This window comes from Homo sapiens, chromosome 4 (assembly GCF_000001405.40).
Source record: "Homo sapiens chromosome 4, GRCh38.p14 Primary Assembly".
NCBI lineage: Eukaryota > Metazoa > Chordata > Mammalia > Primates > Hominidae > Homo > Homo sapiens.
Window position 1 is genome coordinate 97,474,256 of NC_000004.12, and position 26,492 is coordinate 97,500,747.

The window sequence follows — 26,492 nt, forward strand, 5'->3', positions numbered from 1 at the left end:
ATGTATTAATGGAAAAAAAAAAGACAAGAAGACATTAAAAATGTTGGCTTTCTTGCATTTTCCATTTCATTGTTAAAAGCAATGGTCAAGGCTGAAATGAGAACACGAAAAAGCGATAATGATGGAGGTTGGGGGGTGGATAGTAAGGATTCCTGTGGGATGGTCATTTTATCACTAGTATTATGTAGAATTGCCAGCTCATGGTGATAATAATCCAACTAACTTTTAGTGGCTTTGAACATGATTTTAAATTTTTCTACAATATACTCACTTATTGCTTGCATGTAAGGCAAATTTTCCATACTACCCCTTGGTATATATCAGGGACAAGGAAGATGGTTACAGGGAAGGAGGAAGTTTAGCCAGAATCCCTTATGACTTTTAGAGAGAAAAGCCTACATTAATGTCATTACTTTCTTTTTAATTTATTTTATTGAATTTTTATAAAATTATAAAGAAGAATGCTCACTGAAGCCAGTAGAAAAAAAACCCCACAGAGCTGTATTTTTAAAAGTTAATAAACCACTAACTCTCCTCAAATACAAAATTCTTACCTAGCAGGTAGCAAATAACTTTTTGTGTGGGTTGACCCATACTTTTCTCTTACTAAAACAAATATACACATAAAGATTTAACTTATATAAATATATGGCATTATGTAGTATATATAATTCTTTAACATGCTAGTTTAGTGATATATATGGTTCTCTACAAGTTAATTCATACAGCATTAATTCATTTTCTTATTCATTCACTCTATTAGCATATTTTTTGTTAAAAATATACTACTGTAATTTATTCAAATCTTGCCTATGGATAAGAGGGTGTTGCTTATAAAAATATTGAATAAACATCTTTGAAAATAGAGCCTCATATATAATTTAATTATTAGGGATAGTTTCTAAAACATAGATTTTGCTGGGGGCAAATAGTTTTTCCAAAAATACTTTAGCACTGAATGTTTTCATTCTTTATTTTGCCAAACTTTTGTTGAAAACAGTATATAATTGTTTTGATTAATATTTCTTTGCCAAATAATTTGAATTTCTTATGTTTATAGGTCATTTACCCTTCCTCCAAATGAATTGCATATTTGTATATTAGGTGTGTTATGACTTTTTCTTAGAAATCTTCACTCTTTAACTACAATGTATAATGTATACAATGTTTATCAAAAAGTTTTCACTTAATCTAACATATATGTATATATGTTATATATAATACATATATAATATATGCATATATGTAAAATATGTATATAATATATATGTACCATATTCAACGTATGTTACATTCCATATAATATTGTGTACTGTGTATTACATATGTATGGTTGGTATGTGTGTACAGGTCCTACATGGGTTTTCTTTTCAATATTCCATAAAATTCATCTTCTGTCATACTATCACCCTTGTTCACACTGCTTCACTGTTAATTGCTCTGCTCTCCCCTAACATACCATGAATACTTTGACCTTAGAGCTTTGCACTTGTTGATCTTGTTGAACAGAGGCTTTTTCTTCAGATTGTTGCCTGGAATGACCGCTGACTGCTTAGATGCCTCTTCTGAAAGGTCCTCTTCACAGAGACTTTCCCTGGCCGCTTATCTAAAAGGCCAGCCAACCACCACCATCAGGCTCATTCCTGTGTGATTTTGGTTTCTTTTTTCTTTACGCCACTTACTACTACCTAAAAAAAAAGTTAACTTGTTTATATGTTTATTTTTTCTCTGTACCATTAGAATGTAAGCTCTTGGAGGAAGAAATATTGTCCATCTCTCTCATGCCTGTATACCTAGTGCTAAAGACATGTGGGCATTTAGTAAATTTGTTAAATCAATGAATGTATGAATTAATATATTGTATTTAATTTTTAATGTGGTAAATATTTGAATAATATTCAGTTTTCCTATACAGCATTGTGGCATGTTTTCCATATATGTTCAGGTTTTATTTGGTATCCTAAAACAAACTTCTATAGTTTTCTTCATATGTATCCAGTAACTTAGTAAATTTACTTCCTAATATATCTAGTTTTATTTGGGACATTATAATGCCTAGTTATACTTTCATAATCAAAATTTTCTAATTTGTTATTTTAACTTAAAAAATTTTTCTATATATAGCTTGTTCAACTGACTTTGCAATATTCTCCTACTAATGCTAATAGTTTTAATACCATTTCTTTTTTCTTTTTGCCATATACATGTTATTCATATCTCACATTGTAACATTTTCTCTGCTTACTTGATTATTTTTCCATATTGCATTGTTTAGAATCTCTAAAACAGAATTGAATGATAGTGATTCTGGAGGATATCACTGTATCCATCCAGATTTTAATGGAAATAAGATTAGTGTTTTAACATTTAATATTATGCTTGCTATGAACATTTTCCATATAATCTTTAAATTGTTTTAATGTGCTATCAAATTATATTTTAGTTGAGCTTATTATTAGGACAGGTCCCTGAATTTTGGAAGCAGTTTTGCAGCATCCTTTAAAATAATTACATTGTTGTTATCACTTAAGTTACTATTGCAATTAGTTACACTGGAATATTTTCTTTCATCCCAACAATAAACTCTAAGTGGTTCCAAATATTATTCTCTTTCTGAATCAGTAAATATTTACTGATCATGAGTAGACACCTGACACTTTTCCAAATGACATCTTCAAATGGATATATCAAAAAGACAGTTGGATAATTAATTTCGGAGTTTGGGGACAAAACCACAGCCAGATTGGAGATAGTATTTGGGAATCACCAGCATGGAGTAGACCAACCTATAACAATTTAAAGGTCCTGTCATTGGGTTGTGAACAGTTACTCTATTAGAGTCCTCTGAGTGTGTGTGTATATGTGTGTGCACATGCATGCACATATTGGTATGTAACCCCTCAGTAAATATTAACTTTGTTTTTTGGTGTTACTATTTTATTTTACAGTAGCTTATATAGTAACTGTCATTATTTCTATTAATTTATACCAGTCACATTTGTTCTCTGACACAGGGGTCATTTATAATGACAATTTATCATTTCGTATAACAGTTTCCAATTTTCAGCTCTGAACTCCTAATCACCTGAGTGGATGCCATTAGTTCTAGGGATTTATTTGTCCTTATCCTCCTAGAAAAGTATGCAAAGAAAAATTTTATATCATTGTAATCTATCCCCAATCATCAGGTGTTCTTTATGATGGTTTACCTTCCTTTTTTGTTTTTTTTTTTTTTTTTTGAGACTGACTCTCGCTCTGTTGCTCAGGCAGGAGTGCAGTGGCACGATCTCGGCTCACTGCAAGCTCCGCCTCCCAGGTTCACGCCATCCTCCTGCCTCAGCCTCCCAAGTAGCTGGGACTACAGGCGCCTGCCACCATGCCCGGCTAATTTTTTTTTTTTTTCTTTTTGTATTTTTAGTAGAGATGGGGTTTCACCATGTTAGCCACGATGGTCTCAATCTCCTGACCTCGTGATCTGCCTGCCTTGGCCTCCCAAAGTGCTGGGATTACAGACGTGAGGAACCGCGCCTGGCCTCGCTTTTTAAATAATTAAAACCTCCTCATTTCCTTGTTTTTGTCATTATCTACTATTGCTTTTCTATATCCTTTGACAAATCTTATCCCTAGTTTACATTAATTCAACACATATTTGTAAATCAGCTACTACGTGATAAAAACTAGCATGTTAACTAAATAAAAATGCATCATGCACAGGTAAGGCTTGTGAAGAATAGGAAGTCTAATTAAAGAGATTAAGCTATCGCATAAGTAATAATACAAGGTAGAAACTAACACATTTATGATATAAAGGATGAAAACGTTAAACAGATTCAAATGAGGTTGCTGGTATTTCTGCATGGAGTGACAGGCAAGCTAACATTTACACTGGGTTTTGAAACATGGATTGATTTTGGAAATGATAGGTAAGTGATACACAAAGCAGAGTAAACAGAATACACAAAGTAAATAAAGTGGAAATACTGAGTCAAGTAGTATGGAGAATCACAAGTACTTTTATTAAGCTAAAATTATAAATATAAAACGAACTAATAGAAAGTCATATTTAAAAAGCACATTGGAATCAGAAAAATGTAGGGCTTAGGAGTAAATTAAGACTTTTTACTTTTTACAGTGACCTGATCATTTTATTTCTGATAGATTAAAAGGACAGCAACTTGAAATATGAACTGGAAAAATTAATAATAGACGATCACTGTAATTTTCTTATGATAACCTTGATGACTGCCAATTAGTAGGGCAGTATTTGTTTTTATCTTGTATACCATTTTGTCCTGAATCTTAAATTATTTCAACATAGTCTCTAAATTATGTAGATTGTTTTTTAAATGCTACTTTTTAATTATTTTTGTACTCATTTAGTTATAGTTTAGTTTTAATGAAATTAACTCTATGATAAGTTTGTTAGGTTTTCTCTTTTGCTAAAATTTTAATTTCATTATGCTATCACGATTGCCTAATAATTCAAAATGACTAAAAAAAATGAGGAAGGGCTTGTTAACTGTATCGCTAGACTTACCATACATTACTAATTTGTTAAATTGATTTACAAGTATCCCAATGATAAACACAAAATGAACCCTAGAAACCAAGCCAAATATGTGTGTGTGTGTGTGTGTGTGTGTGTGTGTGTGTGTGTGTGTGTGTACTTTATATGTGAAAGACCAGGCAATATAAGTAATTGGATGATGGATGCAAAGACAATTGTTCATCCTCATTAATAATAATTGGATCCCTACAACAACAGCATACAAACACACTCAAACAAATATTAGATTGATTAAATATTTAAATATAAAAACAAAAAATTTGAAACTATTAGAAGGATATACATAGCAGAATATGTGTGTGGTTATGCATGTGTATACACACACACACACACACAAACACTTAGGCATAGATAATGATTACTCAAACAGGAATCAAAATACTTACAATAAATAAGGAGATTGCCAATTTGCCAAATCACTGATCGTATATATGGGTGTGGGTCTATATATGCATACAAATAGTTGATTTTTATCAATTCTAAGGTTAAGGGAGAAAGATTGTTCTGAATATCCTTCAGATTACACTTAGCATGACAACCTTATTCTCACCAAAATGCACCAGACTATAAATGGTATAAAGTACAAACTCTTCTGCATAAAAGATAAGAAGCTTTCAAAATCTATCCAAAATCCCTGATTAAAATAGTCTTCAAAGAATACTACATAAAGATAAATAATTTAGTGGACTATAAATGTCCTTTCGAATCTGACATTCTATATTAAATACTGGATTGCACAATAGAAATTGCTGTAGAATTGATTAGCATCTAGATTTCTCAAATGGAGTCATTAAGACATTCCACAGATTTTACACTAACCAGATTTTAGAGTCTTTAGGAAGATTTTAGAATTGAATATCTGTGACTAATGTAAATAGATTAAGGTTTCCATTATAGATCAAGACAGAATAACAAAGACAAAATTTACTCTCTTTTATTCAACTCCTAGAAAACTAGGCAAAATATATGAAACAATTGTCTTCAGCTATTGAACAACAGAAGGCACAGGACTGTGATACTCAAGAAAAGGGAAGCAAAGTGATTCCTACAATTGAACCAGCTTATTCTTTTGTAGCAGTAATGGATAATTTGTTTCCATATTTGCTGAAACTATAATTCTGTAGATCCAGGAAGCTGCACAAATAAGCATAGAGCTGAAAAACTATTTTGCACACTTGTAATAAAATATACTTAGCAAGTTAAATGAAACTGGTTCTTTGAAAAGATCAGTATAACTGACAAACTTCAAAATGATCAAAAATATAGGAAAGACAAAAATAATATAAAGCAAGAGAACCTCAGTACAGATCTATAGATATTAGACAAATAAGGGAAAATTATGCAAAGTTAATACATTTGACAATATATAAAAGATAGACAAATTCCATGAAAGATACAAACCACCAATGTTCACTCAATATGACTGAGTTAACATGAATAGCCCAGTTTACTAAAGAAATTGAATATCATTTAAAAGTCTTTCCGGTTTACCCATTTAAAAAAAGAAAACAAAAAATGAAATGGGAGGCACAGATTGCTTCAGTGATGAATTTTATCAGACGTGTAATAGAAAATAATGCCAATTCTACTGAAACTCTTCAGAAAAGTGAAGGAGACAGACCTCCTTATCTCATTTTAAGAGGCCTGTAATACCTCAATACAAAAACCAGATAAAAACATTATAAAAAACATATTGGTCTCTAGTTTTCTTTAATTATAAAAACATTATAATTCCCACTAGAAATGTATGAGAGTATCAGTTGCTATTAATCATTAATACTGGATATTTTCTTTTTAATTTTAGCTGTTGTAGTAGGTATGTAATGTGGTTTTAATTTTGCATTTCCCTGTGACTAATAATGTTAAATACCTTTCTATATACCTATTTGTTGCTTATAGCCTTCTGTGAAATGCCTATTCAAATATTTTGCTTACTTTAGTTTTTGCCTTCTTATTATTGAGCTATAGGTATTTTTAGCATACTCTGGTTACAATCTGAATAAACTATATGTTTTTAAAACATTTTTTTTCCCAGGATAAGGCTTGTTTTATTATTTTCTCTAAGATTTCTTTTGAAGAGAATTTCTAAAAATTCAATGTGGTCAAAATTATCAACTTTTTATTGTGTGGTTCAAAATTTTCGCTTTCCCTAAGGACACAAAGATTTCCTACTAGAATTTTATTTTCAGTAAGTTTTAGAGTTTTAGTACTTACATTTATATCTCAGAGCTATTTCAAGTTTAATTGTTTTACATGGCATGACATAGAGAAAAAACACATTTTTTGGCATACCAATATAAAGTTATTACAGCAATATTTGTTGAAAATGTTTCCATTTTCTATTGAATAACTTTAGCATCTATGTAAAAAATTAACAGACCATCTACAATAGTCAATTTTTGAACCCTGAATTCTGCTTCCCTTATCTACGTGTATTCAAACTATTTTGATATCTGTAATTATAGAGTATATTCTTGAAATTAAGTCCTAAATCTTTGGAATTTTATTCACAATTGTTTTGGCTATTTTGAGTAATTTGTATTTCCACACAAATTTTAGAATCAGCTTGGCAATTTCTGAAAAAGAAGCTTGCTGGTCTTTCTATTGTGTTTCATCTGTAGATCAATTTGGAGAGAATTCACATTGCATCTTCTAATCTATTAATAAAGTATAAAGATTTATTAGGAATGTTAAAGATTTTCTCACCAATGTTTTGTATTTTGCAGCATACAGGTCTAACATGTTTTGTTAAATGTATCCCTAATTTTTTTATACATTCTGATGCTATTATCGGTGGCACAATTTCAACTTCAAATTTCAACATTTCTTGATGAGTATTTAGAAACACTATTAATTTTTGAACACTGACCTTATAACTGTGACATTGAAAAATTCACTTATTAATTCTAGTGTCTTTTTTGTAAGCTTGTTTTATTTTTCCACATAGACTTTTATTTTTGTCTGTGAAAAAAAGACAGTTTTACTACTTCTTTTCCAATCAGTATGCTTATATTTTTCTTGACTTATTAAAGTGGCTAGGAACTCCAGTGCTATGTTGAATAGGAGATGTGAACACAGCCATCCTTGTCTTGCTTCTCATTTGAGGGCAAAAACACTCAGTCTTTCATCAACAAATACATTGATCTGTAATCTTTTCGTATAAATCATTTATTAGCTTGAAAATGAGTCTTTCTATCTCTAGTTGGCTGCTAATTTTTATCATAAGTGTATTTAAATTTGTTGGTCTTTTTGGTATCTTTTAAGATAATCATTTTTTTCTTTTTTAATCTATGACTATGGTAAATTACACTGAGTGATTTTTCAAATGTTAAACAATTCTTGCATTCTTGGACAAATCCCATTTAGTCATAATGTATTATTCTTTTGTATGTTATTGAATATGATTTAAACAGTTTTTGAAAAAAAAGTTTTGGATCTACGTTAAAAAAGATATTGGTCTCTTGTTTTCTTTAATTAATAGCAAAAAATGATACAAAAAGTGAAGGGAGAAATAGTCAAAGAAATAGATAGCATAAAGAAAAAACAAAAACTTCAGGAAACATTGGACACACTTATAGAAATGCAAAATGCTCTGGGATGTCTAAGAAATAGAATTGAATGAGTAGAATAAAGAAATTCAGAGCTCAAAGACAAAATCTTCTAATTAACCCAATCCAACATAGACAAAGAAAAAATAATAAGAAAATATGTACAAAGCCTCCAAGAAGTCTGGGATATGTTAAACAACCAAACTAAGAATAATTGGTTTTCCAGAGGAAGGAGAGAAATCTAAAAGTTTGGCAAACATATTTGGGGGAATAATCAAAGAAAACTTCCCTGGCCTTGCTAGAGACCTATATGACAAAATGCAAGAAGTACAAAGGACTTCTGGGGAATTCATTGCAAAAAGATCATCACCTAGGTACACTGTCATCAGGTTATCTAAAGTTAAGATAAAGGAAAGTACCTTAAGACCTATGGGACAGAAACACCAGGTAACCTATGAAAGAAAACCTATCAGATTAACAGCAGATTTATCAGCAGAAACCCTACAAGCTAGAAGGGATTGGGGTCCTATCTTCAGCCTCCTCAAACAAAACAATTATTAGCCAAGAATTTTGTATCCAGCAAAACTAAGTATCATATATGAAGAAAAGATACAGTCTTTTTCAGACAAACAAATGCTGAGAAATTTGCCACCACCAAGCCATCACTACAAGAACTGCTAAAAGAAACTCTAAGTCTTGAAACAAATTCTGGAAACACATCAAAACAGGACCTCTTTAAAGCATAAATCAGACAGGACCTATAAAGCAAAAATACAATTTGAAAAGCAAAAACAGAAACCAAAAACCAAGGTACACAGGCAACAAATACCATGATGAATGGAATGGTACCTCACATCTCAATACTAACATTCAATACACATGGCATAAATGCTCCACTTAAAAGGTACAGAACTGCAGAATGGATAAGAACTCACCAACCAACTATCTGCTGCCTTCAGGAGACTACACATAAGAACTCACATAAACTTAAAGTAAAGGGGTAGAAAAAGACATTTCCTGCAAATGGACACTGAAAGCCAGCAAGGGTAGCTATTCTTATGTAAGAGAAAACAAACTTTAAAGCAACAGCAGTTAAAAAGATAAAGAGGGACATTATATAATGGTAAAAAGGCCTTGTCTAACAGGAAAATATCATAATCCTAAACATATATGCACATAAACTGGAGCTCCCAAATTTATAAAACAAATACTACTAGACCTAAGAAATGAGATAGACAGCAACACAATAGTAGTGGGGGACTTCACTATTCCACTGACAGCACTAGACAGGTCATGAAGACATACAGTCAACAAAGAAACAATGGATTTGAACTATACCATGAAACAAATGGGCTTAACAGATATATACAGAACTTTCCATCCAATAACTGCAGAATACACATTTGTATTCAAGAGCACATGGAACTTTCTCCAAGATAGATCATATGATAGGTCATAAAACAAGCCTCATTAAATTTAAGAAATTTGAAATTATATCAAGCACTCTCTCAGACCACAGTGGAATAAAACTGGAAATCAGCTCCAAAAGGAACTTCAAAACCATGCAAATACATGGCAATTAAATAACCTGCTCCTGAATGAGCATTGGGTCAAAAACTAAATCAAGTTGGAAATTAAAACATTCTTCAAACTGAACGACAATAATGACACAACCTATCAAAACCTCTGGGATACAGCAAAGGTGGTGCTAGGAGGAAAGTTCATAGCCCCAAATGCCTCCATTAAAAAGACTGAAAGAGCACAGACATTCTAAGGTCATACATCAAAGAACTAGAGAAACAAGAACAAGTCAAACCCAAACCCAGAAGAAGAAAGGAAACATGAAAATCAGAGCAGAAATAAATTAAATTGAAACAAAAAAATACAAAATATAAATGAAGCAAACAGCCAGTTCTTTGAAAAGATAAATAAAATTGAAAGATCATTAGCAAGATTAATGAAGAAGAGAGAAAATCCAAATAACCTCATTAAGAAATGAAACAGGAGATATTATAACTGACACCACTGAAATACAAAAGATCATTCAAGGCTACTATGAAAACTTTTACGCACATCAAGTAGAAAACCTAGAAAAGATAAATGAATTACTGGAAAAATACAATTCTCCTAGCTTAAATCAGGAAGAATTAGATACTCTGAACACACCAATAACAAGCAGTGGCATTGAAATGCTGATTTAAAAATTACCAACAAAAAAAGTCCAGGACCAGACGAATTCACAGCAGAATTCTACTAGACATCCAAAGAAGAATTGGTACCAATCCTTTTGACACTATTCCATAAGATAGAGAAAGAGGGAACCCTACCTAATTCATTCTATGAGGCCAGCATCACCTTAATACCAACCAGGAAAGGATATAACAAAAAAAGAAAATTACAGACCAATATCCCTGATGAACATAGATGCTAAAATCCTTAACAAAATACTAGCTAACAAAATCCAACAACACTTCAAAAAGATAATCCACCATGATCAAGTGGGTTTCACACCAGGGATGTAGGGACAGTTTGATATACACAAGTCAATAAATGTGATACACCACATAAACAGAATTAAAAACAAAAATCACATGATCATTTCACTAGATGCAGAAAAAGCATTTGACAACATCCAGCATCCCTTGATTAAAACTCTCAGCAAAATCAGCATACAAGGGACATACCTCAATTTAATAAAAACCATCTCTTACAAAGCCACAGCCAACATAATATTGAATGGGGAAAAGTTGAAGGCCTTCCCTCTGAGAACTGGAACAAGAGAAGGATGTCCACTCTCACCACTCCACTTCAATGTAGTACTGGAAAGTCCTAGCCAGAGCAATCAGACAAGATAAAGAAATAAAGGGCATCCAAATCAGCGAAGAGGAAGTCAAACTGTCACTGTTTGCTGACGATATGATTGTTTACCTCAAAAACTCTAAAGACTCCTCCAGAAAGCTCCTAGAACTCGTATAAGAATTCAACAACGTTTCTGGATACAAGATTAATGTACACAAATCAGTAGCTCTTCTATACACCAACAGCGGCCAAGTGGAGAATCAAATGAAGAACTCAACCCCTTTTACAATAGCTGCAAAAAACAAAAAACTTAGGAATATACTTAACTAAGGAGGCAAAAGACCTCTACAATGAAAACTGCAGAACACTGATGAAATAAATCATAAACAACCCAAACAAATAGAAACATATCCCATGCTCATGGATGGATAGAATCCAATATTGTGAAAATGACCATACTGACAAAAGCAATCTACAAATTCAAAGCAATCCCCATCAAAATACCACCATCATTCTTCACAGAATTATAAAAAAAATTAAAATTCATATGAAGCCTGCATAGCCAATGCAAGACTAAGCAAAAAAACAAACCTGGAGGCATCACACTACCTGATTTCAAACTATACTTTAAGGCCATAGTCACCAAAACAGCATGGTGCTGGTATAAAAATGGGCACATAGACCAATGGAACAGAATAGAGAACCCAGAAATAAACCCAAATACTTACAGCCAACTTGTCTTCAACAAAGCGAACAAAAATATAAAGTAGTGAAAAGACACCCTTTTCAACAAATTGTGTTGGGATAATTGCCCAGCCATATGTAGGAGAATGAAAATGGATCCTCATCTCTAACCTTACACAAAAATCAACTCAAGATTGATTAAGGACTTAAATTTAAGACCTGAAACAAAAAATTCTAGAAGATAATAGACATTGGCTTAGGCAAGGATTTTATGACCAAGAACCCCAAAGCAAATGCAATAGAAAAAGAGTAAATAACTGGGACTTAATTAAACTAAAGAGCTTTTGCTTGGCAAAAGGAACAGTCACCAGAGTAAAAGGCAACCCATAGAGTGGGAGAAAATTGTCACAATCTATACATCTGACAAAGGACTAATATCCAGAGTCTACAATTAACTCAAACAAATCAGCAAGAAAAAAACAATCCCATCAAAAAGTGGGCTAAGAACATGAATAGACAATTCCCAAAACAAGATATACAAATGACCAACAAAAATGAAAAAATGTTCAACATCACTAATGATCAGGGAAATGCATATCAAAACCACAGTGCAATACCACCTACTCCTGCAAGAATGACCATAATCAAAAAATCAAAAAACAGTAGATGTTGGCGTGGATGCAGTGAACAGGGAACACTTCTACACTGCTGGTGGGAATGTAAATTAGTACAGCCACTATGGAAAACAGTGTGGAGATTCCTTAAAGAACTAAAAGTAGAACTACCATTTGATCCAGCAATCCCATGACTGAGTATCTACCCTGAAGAAAGGAAGTCATTACATGAAAAAGATACTTGCACATGCATGTTTATAGCAGCACAATTCGCAATTGCAAAATCATGGAACCAACCCAAATGCCCATCAATCAATGAGTGGATAAAGAAACTGTGGTGTGTGTGTGTGTGTGTGTGTGTGTATATATATATATATATATGTATGTATACAAACACACACACACACACACACACACACACACACACACAATGGAATACTACTCAGCCATAAAAAAGAATGAATTAACGCATTTTCTGTGACCTGGATGAGATTGGAGACTATTATTCTAAGTGAAGCAATTCAGGAATGGAAAACCAAACACTGTATGTTCTCACTGACATGTGGGAGCTAAGCTATGAGGATGCAAAGTCATAAGAATGATACAATGGACTTTGGGGACTTGGGAGGAAGGGTGGGAGTAGGGGGAGGGACAAAAGACTACAAATAGGGTGCAGTGTATACTTAACTCATATAACCAAATATCACCTGTCTATACCCCAATAACCTATGGAAAAAAAAAACCCAGACCAGGAAGACTACATATGGTATTATTTCATTTAAATGAACTTCTAGAAAAGGAAAAATATAACTATAGAAACCAGAAGTGGCTGTTACAGGTAAGGAGTCACAGAAAGGAAACTTATAGTAAAGAGGAGATGAAAATGATCTATTACACAATATAACTATCAAAATTCAATCAAATTGAACCTTTAAATTTAGTTTTAAAAATTTTATATAAAACATACTTCAATAAAGCTAAGAAACAAAATTCTTTGATGATATTTATGTCTATTGAAGAAATGAAAACTGCTATTAGAAAAAATATATTTTATTATTTCCAACACACCATTTTTTTTACATCTTAACATCTCTAAAATTAGAATGCATGTTACACTTCATGGTTTCTTAAAATCAGAATATTTTTCTTTCTGAATGCTATGTAAAATGAGGCTTTTTACACTTGATGGTATATTAGATTCAATAAATTATAGCAATACTAATGGTTGGATTAAGTTTACTATGTCATGTTTATACCATCCGTGTTTAAGAATTGAATACTTTGGGCTATATTCAAAACTGCACTATTCCATTAATGGTACATAAAAACACAAATCTTATAAATGACTTAGAAAAAAAGCTATAAATGAGTAAAATGCACCAATTTATAGGAAAGTTTTTTGTTTATTAGTAAAAGGTCATAAAAAGTAATTTGCAATTTATTTTAATTATATAATATTTCAAAATTAGAGAAAATACATGTGTAATATAAAAGAAACCTATGTATTTATCACCCATAATTATCAAAATTGCCATTTAGAAAAAGATATACAATTCCATCCCCTCCCCTCTTTCCTTTTCCCACAGAAATAACTACAATTCTGAAGTTGTTACATGTTCTTCACACTTATGTTCTTATAGTTTGTATTCAAGAAATAACTAAGTATGGGCCTTAATATAATGGAATACAATCTAATCATCAAAATAAATGAACCAAATCTGCATTTATCTACAGAGAATATTCTTGAAAACTTACCTTAAGAGAAAAATCAAGTAATGAATGTATAATAATAACAATAACAAAGTACTTCAGGCTATTTTCCATGTGCTAGACATTGTTCTAAGCACTTCAAATACATTAATTTAATCTCAAGAAAAGTCCTAAGAGTTATCCCAGTTTACAGATGAGAAAACTGAGGAACAGAAAGATTAACTATTTTGCTGAAGATCAAACAGTAATTTATTTACATGCAATCTGTCCCTAAAATAAACTCTTACCCACTCTATTATGTGTAAATATAGTATTGTTCTTAACTGCTCTAACAAATAGACAAAATAGAAATTTATGTCTCACTCAAATAGTAGTGAAGAATCAATGTTTCTGGCCAGCAAGGTAAAGTAGGTGAGAGGAGTGGGTAAGTAGGCAGTCTTTCAGAAACCCAGACTCATAGCAAATCAGCCATTTTCAAAAACTGGCTTCCAAGATCTCTGGCAATCCCAGTTGAACAGAAAGAGACAATACATAGAGGACAAAACAAATAATGTTTAAGAATCAGGCCTGGAAGTGACAGACATCATTTCCACTCACATTGCAATAACTAGAATTCAGTTGTTCATCTATGGTAACTACATGATGGTCAAGATAACATGGTCTAGCTGATGGTAAGTCAGAAACTGTGATAGGTCTGAGATGTTACCCTACTTTCACAGTTATATATTGACAAATAGATAGACAGATAGATGGTGACATTGTTTCCCTGTGTCCCCACTCAAATCTCATCTTGAATTGTAACTCCCACAATTCCCACAGTTCATGGGAAGAACCCAGTGGGAGGTCATTGAATCATGGGGGCGGGTCTTTCCCATGCTGTTCTCATGATAGTGAATAAGTCTCATGAGATCTGATGGTTTTAAAAACAAGAATTTCCCTGCACGAGCTCTCTCTCTTTGCCTGGGGTCATCCATGTAAAACGTGACTTGAACCTCCTTGCCTTCCAGCATGATTGTGAGGCCTCCACACCCATTTGGAACTATAAGTCCATTAGACCTCTTTTATAAATTGCCCAGTCTCAGGCATGTCTTTATTGGCATTGTGAAAACAGACTAATACAGATGGATTAGATAGACAGAGAGACAGATAAATCGATACTAGTAGAAATATCAGGCATCTGGGTCAGAAATCAGAGGTTTATTTTCTTACAATAACAGCAGCCAGAGTAACGTAGCACTGGTTCCCCAAGGCTAGTACCACCTAGGTGACCAGATGAGAGGCTACATATAGTCAAAGAGATAGTTCCACACATATGCCAAGATTGTACTGTGGAAGGGAGACTCTGAAAATATGGATCTAGTAGAGGAACAATTGTCTCTCCTTCCCTCTTAAATGAAGGGAGGACAACCTTTTATTCCTAATGTAAGCATATTCACCTTGGGAAGAAAAGGGAAAGAATTTTGAGTTCTTATACTTTGAATGTAAATATGCTTCTAGATGGAAAAAATACTAGCATCTCTAAGTTTACCACTCGGGGTTTTCTCTTCATTTGAAATGTAAACATACAGGGAAATAATTCTCTTATTTCCTTCAAAGGTCTCCTTCTGAAGAGGGTGAAGATCTCTACCCCGAAATGTAAGTGTTTTGCTCTGGGTAAATTAGGAGAAATCTTAATCTCCAGATGGGATCAACTGGCTACAATTAAGGAGACAAAAGATTGCAGATCTAGTATCCATACTATATGAAGAGAACATTTATTTTTTCTGGGGGAAATAAAGCAAACATTATCTTCATAGTGTATCAATGTCTGTCTTTTAGATGGTCAAGACCTCATAACAACACCAAGAAATCCAGGGAAGATTTATTTTCCCACCTCTGTGTTGGCTCAAGAAGAAAAGAATAGATTTCAATGGCAGCTAGTATAAATATTATCTAGAAATATAACCTAGTAATTTTTTAAAAAATACAATCCAATATTACACATTGGTTATGGATACATAAATATGATAGTGTTGATGTTGATATTCCCACCCCTCCCCCCATTTATTCTAATTTATGACAGGCTGATTTCCACATTTTCCACCCTCATCATTCTACATAACCTGTTCTTGCTAAGACCACCAATAGTTCCCTACTTGGCAAAGCCAATGCGTTCTTTCAGTCTTCTTTCTACTTAACCTCTCTTCAGCCATTGGCAATATTAATTATTCCCTCTCTCTCTTCCTAATTTCCATGCCATTACTTATATTCTACTACTCTGTTTGCCACTTTATTAGATTCTCTTCCTCCATCCCTCCCAAAAATGATAGCCATTCTCAGCCTCTATCTGTACATTCCCACTAAGTAATTGGTTACATTATAGAGACACTAGGATAACAGTTTTTAAAAACTCAGTGAAGGAGTACTCGCTTCCCTGTACCTCCTGGTTTCACTGTTATAATTGAAGTAACAATACAAAACAGTTCACAGTTAAAGTACTGTCTGCATGTATAGGTTGGTACCAAATAGGCAACATATGCAGCATGAAATATGAAAACTAACATGCCAATTTCCACTGCCCCTTTTCTGTGTTCCTAACCTTTAACACTTCTAAACATCTCTCCTTCAAAGAGCTTAGATTTAGGACTTCCCATATCTTTTCTCTTTTCTGATGTTGAAGTTCCCATTTCCTAAACACCAGTCATTGGCAAAAAGCACACAATTAAACCTATTAAAAGGCAAGTAAATATGTAGCTAAACCCATTTACAGCATAAGGAATTTAGTTAATATGACCTCAGTTTACTCAGCAAATGCATTATTTTATTCTCTTTCTGATTCACTAACTTGCAATTTTTTGGATTATTTTTTCCTAATTTTTATACTTAGGATTACTGTCTTTCTTAACATATTCTAACTCTGGTGAGGTGTTAACCTCATCTTGACTGAGACCTAAGTCCACCATTTCAAATTCTGGCAGAAAATTTTCATTTAAAGTTACTCCAAATCCATACTCCCTGAGATGGAGTAACTTTAAAAGAAAGTTACTCCACAGAAAGCCCACATATTGGCAATCTTGGGCTTTTTTACCCAAGGAGAAAACAACTTGCCCTCAGCTTCTTAATTTTCCTCTTTAAAATCCAAAAGATGTTAAATAAATTTCCAGCTTCTTCTTACCTCACCCCCACAACAGCATTAGATTACCTACCTCAAAGAACTTATTCCTTTTTAAAGTTATCAAACATTTATTTGGTAAAATTTGGGCACCAAATGCTTTGTACTTGGTGCCAGACTTACAGAAATGCAGAAGACATAGTAGAGAGTATCAAAAAGGGTCACTTGGCAGAAGCTATACATAGAAAGAAATGGCCTCTCAGAGGAGATAAAGCATCAGCTGAATCTCTGAATAATAAACAGGCATTATATTAGTTTATATGAAGAAGGGATAGGAGAATGCTTAGCATGAAAGCAAGAGTACATGCAAAGGCACAGAGACTTAAGAAGGCATGATGCCCTTAACTAAAGATTTTAACTTACAGCTAAAGAGTGGTGCAAGTGTAAGGAAGAAAGTCAGATAGGTAGGCAAAGGAAAGCTTACAATACTCTCTGTATAATCTGAAAACAAATGTGAAATTTATTCTGAAAGCACAGAAAACCTAATGGACAATTTGAGAAGAAAAGTAACATGATCAGATTTGCAAAGAACTCTTGAGTGGCAGTGATAAAGATGAACTCAATGGGGCAATGATAATGAAAGCAAGCAATTAAAAGGCAAGGGGATAGTGAAGAGAATAAATGGTGCCCTAGGATAAATGGGTAAAATTTGTACCAACTTTATCATTACATGTAAAGAATACTTTCATGATGACTAGTAGCCAATAAAGTATGATTTACAATGCTATAGCAATTTTCTCTTTAAAGCACTCAGTGCACACCTAGATGGTCATCTCGTAAGAATGGTGCTGAATATAGGGTAGATACAAATCTAAAAAATATTTACATTAAAAATTTTCCCTGGTGCCAAAGGGAAGAGAACTCCTTTCCCACCCATCGAAGAACTACTTGTCTTCTATTAGAACACCGGAAATTGTAAATGTTTTTTTCTGTCTCTTTGAGATATATGCAAATCTTTCTAAAATTCAATGAGCCTCTTGCCAGTTTTGATCCCAGGAATGTCTTTCATGGGGACCTCTGAAAACATCTTTTTTGAAATATAAACATCAAGGAGAGGGGCACTCTTTCTCCCTGACTCCTCAGAAGTTTAAGCCTAGATATTTGACTCCAAGATGTAACTTCCTATTTGTTGAAAACATGCAAGTTTAATTTTTCCTTTGAATGGAAACATTTAAACATAGAATCCAACATGTATGTAATGGATTGCATCAGCTTGGCTATAGAAAATAGTTAGATTCCTTTGTTCTTTGCCATCTCTTTAGGGATTGCCTAGAATGTGAATTGTAGTCAGTTGAATGCTCATTCAATGATAAAAACTTTTTTTTTTTCTATATTTGTGAGGAGAAATTTGGGGGTTGGCAGATTTTATATTTTATTATATTTCCACCAGAAGAAGAGATTCTTGCAAGGTATAGGATACTAAATTGAATAACTTATGAGACTATATCATTATAACACCCAATGAGGTTAGAAGTTCAAATATCTATACTAATGTATTATACTATATATTTTGGAAGATTGTATTTCTAAGATGGCCACACCAAAATCTCCCATTCCTAATCTTCTCCTGAAATGTGACCTTAGCACTCTCCAGTCAAGAGGTAGAGTCTGCTTTTCCCTTTGAATCTAGAATGCCCTCAGGGACTGTTTTGACAAAGAACATGGCAAAAGTAATGTCCTGAGATTTCTGATCCCAGGCCTTAAGAAGGCCTGAAAACATCCGTTTTTCAGTTCTCAGTAGTACTGACTCATCCTATAATATGTCTAGCTACTTTGCAGGATAGGCCACCTAGAGACCAAGAGACATTTAGTCTGTATAGAAAGAGTAAAACGTCGGTTATTACAGCCTCCAAACTGAAGAGTGAAACACAGCCACAAGAATAACACTGGTAAGACCCTGAGGAAAAAGCAAAACAAAACAGAACCCAGCCCAGCCCTTATTGAGGAAGTGTATACAAATAAACTGGTTATTGTTATTGTTTGAAGTTACTAACTTCTGATGTAGTTTGTAGTGCAGCAATGGATAACTAAAACATAATTAATATCTGGAAGCAGGATCCCGCTGTAATAGAAACCTAAAACATGTAGCATTGACTTTGGGAATTGTTAGTGGGAACAGGTCTAAAGTTACTCAAGGAGAATATTAGTGGAGTTTTAAGGGAAGTGAGAAAACTGCTATTGCCTGCAACAGATAAAATTATAGAAAAAAAAAGGGATATACAAGTTATCACATGCTGCTAGCACAGCAAAATTAGCAAAAGTGTGGCCAGGAATAACATGGAATATTAAAAGTGTACCCAATGTACTTAGTTCTGGCTAAGATTTTCATACAAAATGATGTAAGTGCCAACTGTCTTATTTTAGATTCCCATGAAAAAGTACATAAGAAACGAGATGTACTAAAGGAGATACTGTTCCATTTTCAAGCAGAATTTGGTGAAAATATTAAAAAGCCAGTATTTGCTGAGATCAAAGATGAAATTGTTTTTCCTCCTTGGTCACCCCCTAACAAACAACTACCCTAGTGAAAAAGGACTCTTTGCAAAGATGGAATCCATAATGTTTCAGGAATAAATATCAAATCAAAGGTCTACTGTGAAATCCTTTGATAAGTTGTTAAACAGATTTAACAAGGTGCCCTACATTTTAGCTAGACAAATGGGCTTCTATCAGTCCTAAGGAATTTCTTAATGACTCACCTTTGATTCAACACAAAAAAACGTTTAAGAAAATTGTCCCACAGAACTCTGAAGTATAGCAGAGACAAGCTTATCTCAAAGAGATTTGGGGGTATGAATTATGTCAAATGGAGTAAATTTATAATTTGGTATCTAGAAAACCTATGAGGTTTTAAAATAACTTATATATCCATGAGCTGGAGAGATACAGACATTTTAAAATTAAAAAGTTGCCTTTTTGCCTCCAAATTCCTTCAGGCAGGTAGCATGCTGAGAAGCTTTTCAGTTGCTCATAAATGCCTTCCTCACAGAAAATGAACATTTACTTAGTGGGAAGAGCAAAGAACAACAAAGAAGCAATCCAGGGGAGCAGAATTGCCCTAATCAAAGAACTGAACTCACAAATTCATTTGCCTGGCTGAATTTTAGAATTGCTGTGAACCTGTGATGTTTATGTGCCTACAGCTCTGCTCTCTTTTACTTATATGTATCTAGAAGTCATCTTGTCTTTGTCTCCACATTATATGTTTGATAAATGGAGGGCAAATAAATTAACTTCCTGGTTTGCCTTTGGACTAAGAGAAGCTACGTCCAAGTAGCTGATCCTGAGGTACCAGCCCTGGGAAGCATCATTCAGAAATTGATATGACTTAAATTATGAGATGATAGACTTCAAGCAAATGCTGTAATGGGATGAGAGTTTTGCGGAAGGAGTAAGGATTTTTTTTTTGTGGGACATATTTGAATATTTATGACCAGGAAGCAACCAGTGGTCAAAGATGGCTACAACAATATCTTTCATTCCACAAGCTTTTACACAATGTGACATTAGCATTTTGCCATCATAATAATTAAATGTATGGAATGATGCAACATTAAGAAAATATATACGCCACATACTTACACTGTTTTCCTAAATCCTAAATTAAACCACACCTATTGCTGATAAAAGAAAAAAGAAAAAATGATAATGTAAAATAATTAACAAATGTTTCTGATATAGCTAAAAAATGACAGTGTTCCCATTAATCTCTATAACATAAATCTTCAGAACTCATATTTTAGTGTTTCAGAGAACAATTGAATATCTATATTGAATATAGATATATAATAAACATTTTAAAAGGCAAATGAATTGTGACAGAACATATAGTTCTTCTGGTTGAGTCCTTTTCATTTTGTACATAGAATATTTCTTATTCTGCTTTTATTTTTCCTTTCCTTTATCCTATTATTCCTAGTAGTTTATCCCTATTTTCTTTTTTAAGTCACCAAATTTTATTTATGCAATTCTATTTCTGTCTAAGCTAAAGTATAGCATAAAACCTAATATCTAAAAACACAAGACATCAGTTTGTAATGCTCAAATATCAAATTAAATATTAGAAATGAAATATTAGCCTTAAAACCACCCACACAAAGTTTTTGTATAGTATTCGTTTTTATGTGACAAGCTACTCTTTCTGAATTTGCTTTCTAGTATCGCATTTAGTGTTCAGATTCTATAAGGCAATATAAGGGAGTAATATATTATGCAGTTCGGTTTGAAAAAAATAGATCTCAAAAACTAAGGAAATGCAGGTAAACTCTATATTAATTATCTGTATTTACAGTGTTCAAAGGAAACTCAGTTTCTTGGTAGTCAAGCTACTTATTTTGCCAAATATTATAATTTTAAATGTTTGGGAAAGGGATGGTCAAGACAAAAAAAAAAAAAAAACACAGAACTACAAAGTAAGCCAAATTCTAAAATTTTAACTTTCCATTGAAATTCTACATAAATTCCACATAAGAAGTTTGGTAAAATAAAATAAAATAAAATAAGTAAATAAATGGCTGAATTAATTTATTGAGCTTATTAACATCTGTATATATCAGTAAGTAGCTATTATCCACATGAATCTAAATATTTGCTGTTTTTTCCTTAAATTTTACTATTGTGAGAAGAAAGAAATGTTTTTTGTGCTTCCAAGTTTCATGAGTACATTAAACAAATACTCCAAAATGATTTACACACACAAACATGCATAAATATGTTGAAAATCAATGACAACCAATATGTCCTAAAAATTAGATGACTAACACTTTAATAAAGGCAAAATATTTAGTAATATCATTTTCAGCAATTTTATTGTATTGCCTTAAACCTAAAAACATCTTAAAATAACCTATTTATATGCCCCCCCAAAAGTATTTTCAATAAGAATATACCGTAAAGAGAATAGCAAAAATAACTTGCAATTTTTCATTTGCTTTTTAGCGATTATAAGTACTTGCCTAGGTCAATATGGAATTCTAACAGTTGAACAGAATGTCCTTTGTATCCCTAGGCAGACAAAATAGAGCTGCCTCAGGGAAAAGAATTTATTAAACACACTCCCCAAGACACATGCTGAACTCAAAATTACACAGCATGCATCTAGTCTCAAAAGATTCTGATTTGCTTTTCAGTCAAATGTTTCCCGCTGCTAGAAAAAATGTAAGCTTTGTTTCATGAAAAGCTTTAACCTGAGAATTACTGCACTGCCATGGTTACCCAGCAAAATAGATTGCATAACCTAGAAGGTAGCAAGAAAACATTAGGTTTGGAAAATAAAATGATCTTCCTGTTGGAAAATCATAACGTGTACCCCCTATGTTTGTGTAGGCATCTGTACAGCTTAGCCCATTCTCTCAGAAGATCCTAACTCTGAAGGAAGTTCCCACAGAGCAATATGTGTATCCCGGCAGTGTGTGAATCATTTCTCTTATCTAATAATCTCCTACAAATGTACCTTTGGTTATGCTTTGACTTTGCTGAAAGGTGAGACTCACCATGTGGCATTCATTTTGTCTGCCAAGTATTTCTTCAGGAGTTGTTTGTTTCTCTGCTGTTATACTTTAGACAGAAGTTCATGACTCCATTAAGAAAGAGAAAATAATATCCATATTAAAATGCTATTAAAAATAATCAATTTTCCTGGTTAGTTCCATCTTTTCCTTTTTTTTTTTTTTTAAAAAAAGCAGAGTTCCTGTGAGCATTTTACACAGGAAAAAAGAAGCATTATTAAAGCTGAGTTGTATAAGAAAAATAAGCATTCTTTAAAATACAAATGAGGAAATAGTTTTAAAATTTACTTATTCCTTTTACTTCTCAAGCATTAAAGAAAATCAAAACAGAAAATAACACAAGCAGGCAGCATATACACTAACGACTACTTGCCATCTCAATCTAAGAAAAGCTAGAAAATAATTAGCAAAACTCTTGATTAAATACATCCTTTGCTACATGCCCAATTATAATCATTTCACTATAATGTGTAAGGGAATTAGTAACTTAAAAATGTCAATTATTTAACATTATTGATTATGTTACATAAACAAAATATGTGACTTCAATACAAATGCTTCAGTTAAGTTCTAGTATGACAGAAAAAGGCAATACTTTTCTCCCCATTGTGTTTTCTAACTTATTTTTCAAATTTTGAGAAATCATCTACCAACGGAAATCTCCCAATTAGTAGAGAAAGTTATACTTCTGTTATTTAAAATCTTTAGTTAAAATAAGCATACATTTCTGCCAATTTCATTTTGTTAGCTAAAATTACTTTCAATTATCCTACACTCAATATCAGATAATTACTTGGAAACTATGATTTAAAAATTGTTATGTTGAGTTAGAATTTTTAGAAAGGGTGGTAATACTGTAAGTGTTCATTCCATTATTTGCCTTCTGTTTGCAACACTTTTAGAGAATCTATTGGAGAAATGCATATGATTTCAAAATATTAATAAGGAAAACATAAATTAGCAAGTTATCACTAACATTTTTCATCCTTTTTGTATCTACATACACATTCTTCTGATGCCTACATTTCTCATTATCCCTAGGTTTTCTATTATTTATTCCATTCTTATGTTATTGCCTCAATATAACTTACTAAGGCTGAGGCTTAACAAATTTTAATGATGACAGCCTGAGAACCAGTTCCCCTGACTGTGTGCAGGAAGTGGAACAGGAACAAGCAGCTATAGACAGCCCTTACTAAGTGAACTCTAGTGAAAGATGAAAATTCAATAAGAACTTTTCTCTTTCCTGAAAACAAGGGTGTGTGATTAGGGCATTTGTTTTGTAAATTGAAGAATTTCAAGAAAGAAAAACATAGTCTAGTCCCCATGAGTCCACTGTGGGTCAGGTAGGCTCTCATATAATGACTCAGTTTTTATTTCGGATGCAAACCATGCTGACCACCTTTAAATAGAGAACTTGTTAATGAGGCATCATGTTCCTAGAGTGGCTGAAATATTTAAAGGTATGTGTCATTTTTATGTAAGATGTTAAAAGAATTTTAATACAAAGTCCATGTTCCTCAAATTTCATAATAAATTTAAGATTTAGAAAAATCTCCTCATAAAGATCTGCTTTAGCATTTGAGAAAACTTACTTTTTTCTTGATTATATGTAATACTGTTGAATTTTGTTGTTATTTAATTATAAAAGCTTTTATATATCACAAAACAAGGATGTTCACATTGAAACTAAAGAAAAGTGCATGATTATACAGTTTAGGCAAATGTTACTTAGAAATTTCCACAGTAAAATCTACAGCTGGAAAGGTAAAAAGCAACCTGAAAAAAAAAATAATGATCTTGAAATCTGCAACAAATAGTTGCACATTTTAACTAAAATAAAAAAACAAGAAACAAAAATACAACAATAGCATGGATTGTCGATTTATTTTTAACTATTGCTTCATTAAAAAAATAATATCTGGATTTCTTGCAAAGATAGGATAAAAACAGAAGTGAAAAGTCTCTCTCCCACAATATTTAACAAAATAAAAAAAAAGTAAAAATAACAACAAAACTCACAAGCACAACCCAAATTATGAAAGGAGTACAACAGAATATGCAGCCAGAAAAAGTAGAATGCCAAAGCAAGAAAACAGATGATCTCAGCACCATCACGCCTTGCCCCATCTCTCAAGAAGCCAGTACTTAAGGAATGATGAGTCACAAAAATCCTGTAAATTCTCATCAATACTCTGTAGTTTTTAGTGAACCTAACTGAGGGAGTGACTCACGAGCCCTAGGAAAATCAGGATAAGTCTAACTACAAACAACTTACGTAATACAGGGAAATATCAGTGAGAAAGTATCATCAAGAGTTTCTATCTTCAGGCACACTGTAATAAGTGTGCCTGAATGAAAGAGCAAAAAACCAAGGGATTGTCAGACTTTTAGATGGGATGAGAGTGCCCTGACATGGCAATTTATGAAACAATATGAAAAAGCCCACATCTCATAGCATGAATTACATTCAGCTGCAGCTAAGGCATCACCCGTCCACAATTTATTTTTTCATTGATTTATTTGTTTACTCAACCATTCTTAATTGGAAAACTATTATGTATCTGGCACTGTTCTAAGCACTGAGGAAATACGAGTGAACAAATCAGACAAAAATCTCTAGTTTTATGGAATTTACACTAAAATAGAGACAGATATTAAAAACAAACCAAGTAAATTTCCTTTAATTTTCTTCATGGCATTGATCATGTTCTAATATAAATTTTATATTCAATATTCTTATAGGATATCATATTCTTATTAGAATATTTTAAATGGTATGAAGAAAATTAAAGGAGAAAAAAGAGATAGAAAAGTCCTGAGGGGAAAGGGGTTCCAATTTTTAATAGCATGGTCAGGGAAGGCCTCTGGGAGAAGGTGGCAAATGAACAAAGGCTGGAAGGAAGTGAGAGAATGAACCATGTAGATAGGTGGAGGTGGAGATTCCAGGCAGCAGAAACAGCTAGTGCAAGGGCAGGCGTGAGAAACAGCCAGCTAGACAGGGCCACTTAGATGGGATGAGCTAGGTAGAGGTTAGTATTAAATAGAAGATGGGATAAAAGAGTAATTGGGCTGGGCCTGGAGGCAGGTCTATTGCATAGGCCTCATATCATTGTTGAGTATTTTAAGTTTTACATGCAGTGAGAAGTGAAGCCATGGAGAGTTTCAAACACAGGATACTCTTGATCTAACATATTTTAATTGGGCCATTCTGACTATGGTCTCAAAAAAAGGCAATAGGAGGGGCAAGAACAGAAGCAAGGGGACCAATTAGGAAGATATATCAATAATTCAGAGAAAAGATGATGATAGTGGTAGCAAAAGAGGTTATAAAAAGAGGCTGAAATGTGGATGTATTTGGAAAGTAGAGCAAATAGGATTTTCTGACTGATTAGATGAGGGTGTAAAAGAAGTGAGTCAAGTATGTCTGCAAAATTATACCCGGAAAATAAAAATGTAGCCATTAATTGAGATGGGGCAGAAAATAAAAATGTAGCCATTAATTGAGATGGGGAAGACTATTAAAGAAGCAGAAACTGTGAAAAAGATCAGGAGTTTGGCTCTGGATATGTAAATTTTGAAATGCCCATTAGACATCCAAATGGAGATTTGATGTGTGGAGTTTAGTGAAGACAGCCTGACTGGAGATAAAATATAAGGTCTTCTCAACATATGGATAGCATTGAAAGCTCTCACCAAGGTTGTGAGAAATAGAAAAGAGGAAGTTAAAAGGCAGGGCCTAAGAGCATTACAGCTTTAATAAGTTAAGAAGATCAGAAGGAACCAGAAAAGGAAACTGAAAATGGCTGGTCAGTGAGACAGGATGGTGTCCTGGATGTCAAGAGCAGATGACTCAAGTAAGAATGAGTGTCAAGTGCTATGTTAAATATTGCTAATTAATAATCAGATAAG

At 33.0% G+C, this 26,492-nt stretch overlaps 1 protein-coding gene and 1 long non-coding RNA gene across 5 annotated transcripts in view, besides 1 other annotated feature; one reads left to right on the forward strand and one right to left on the reverse strand.

The window, feature by feature from the left end:
- The window catches only part of STPG2-AS1 (STPG2 antisense RNA 1), a 123,239-nt gene extending 107,330 nt beyond the window's left edge, over positions 1 to 15,909 (forward strand). Inside the window, exons 5-6 of the long non-coding RNA NR_102713.1 lie at positions 15,519 to 15,557; positions 15,741 to 15,909. This is a non-coding gene — a long non-coding RNA (STPG2 antisense RNA 1). The remainder of the gene's footprint in view (positions 1 to 15,518; positions 15,558 to 15,740) is intronic.
- Positions 1 to 26,492, reverse strand: part of STPG2 (sperm tail PG-rich repeat containing 2) — a 702,228-nt gene that overhangs the window by 33,007 nt on the left and 642,729 nt on the right. The gene's annotated exons all lie outside the window — the stretch shown is intronic.
- Positions 26,329 to 26,458: an enhancer, noted in NCBI's record as "active region_21731". NCBI's record gives its function as "activates an Ori minimal core promoter by ATAC-STARR-seq in GM12878 lymphoblastoid cells {active_cell/tissue: GM12878}" and the evidence as "EXISTENCE:reporter gene assay evidence [ECO:0000049][PMID:35858748]".